This window comes from Homo sapiens, chromosome 10, assembly GCF_000001405.40.
Source record: "Homo sapiens chromosome 10, GRCh38.p14 Primary Assembly".
In the NCBI taxonomy this organism is placed as follows: Eukaryota; Metazoa; Chordata; class Mammalia; order Primates; family Hominidae; genus Homo; species Homo sapiens.
This window is the reverse complement of record NC_000010.11, coordinates 4,606,981-4,608,253: the sequence shown is the minus strand read 5'-3', so window position 1 is coordinate 4,608,253 and position 1,273 is coordinate 4,606,981. Positions and strand designations below refer to the sequence as shown.

At 45.4% G+C, this 1,273-nt stretch overlaps 1 annotated feature.

Moving 5' to 3' along the window:
- Positions 378–878: an enhancer, noted in NCBI's record as "H3K4me1 hESC enhancer chr10:4649568-4650068 (GRCh37/hg19 assembly coordinates)". NCBI's record gives its function as "activates a minimal SCP1, AML or CMV promoter by ChIP-STARR-seq in naive H9 embryonic stem cells {active_cell/tissue: H9 hESC(naive)}" and the evidence as "EXISTENCE:reporter gene assay evidence [ECO:0000049][PMID:30033119]".

The window sequence follows — 1,273 nt, the reverse complement described above, 5'->3', positions numbered from 1 at the left end:
TTGTAAGGCTGTGGGACTTAACAATCTATGTTAAGGATAAAGCCAATCACCTTTTAGAAAAATGTCAGGCACTGTGATTTACCCCACATTTCTTTCCACATTCTTCAGGAACACAATGTTGATTTTGCTTAGGAATCTACCTTTTGAGCAGGTGACCTTGTCATGCTCTCTGGGGTAAGTCCCGGGTGAGGTTGGGCTCCCTGGGCTGGGATTTGCCTCTGCAGACCCCTATTAGGAAGCACTCAGGATAACCCACCCTGGGAGGGAGTGGCACAGAGGCCTCCGAGGAGGCTCCAGCCTAGGCCACGGGAGCTCCGATGCGTGGAGATGCCTCCTGGGATGTCCTGAATTCAGACAGAGCCTGGGTCACGTTCTCCACATCAAGCCGACATCAGGCGTGGACTGCGCCGGGAGGGGACATGAGCTTGGGCAAGGCAGCTTTCTTCCATGGCCTGGGTGCTCAGCTGGGGCCCTCAGCTGGCAGCACGCCCAGAGGCTAACAGAGCATTTCGTTTTTGATGGGGGCCTCTCTGAAATGCTGAATAATATGATGCTGTTCTTTCAAAACTATCGGCTTCCAAAGCCTATGAAGAAGTCTAGAGATGCAATGTACAACATGAGGAGAGTAGTTAATAATACTGTATTGTGTGCAGGCACTTTACCAAGAGAGTAGATTTTAGGTACTCAAAAAAAAAAGAAAGAGGGAGAGAGAAAGAAAGAAAAAGGAAAGAGAAAGAAAGAAAAAGAAAGAAAGGAAGGAAAGAAAGAAGGAAGGAAAGAAAGAAAGAAGGATGGAAAGAGAGAAAGAAAGAAAGAGAAAGAAAGAAAGAAGGATGGAAAGAGAGAAAGAAAGAAAGAGAAAGAAAGAAAGAAAGAAAAAGAAAAGAAGGAAGGAAGGAAGGATGGAAGGAAGGAAAAGGAGCAAAGAAAGAGAAAGAAAACTCTATGAGATGATGGGCATGTTAGTTTGTTTGACTGTGGTATATATAGATAAATATATCAAAATATCATATAAACCTTAAGTATCTAAAAAATAAAAATAAACTAAGAGAATTGTACAAAGCACTGGGCAATCAGGTAAGGCGTCTGTGGTGGGGTTCGTGGCCCTCTGGGTGTCCTAAGGATGGAGGGTGTTACCAATCACTATCTCGGCTCACCTGCGACCAGACCAACTGTTGCTAGCCATGACGGTGCCTTGCTACACTGGCAGTAAATTCTCCTCAAATGGGAACAAAGGAAACCCCTCTTCCCTGCTAGCAGTGGGGAAGGCGTT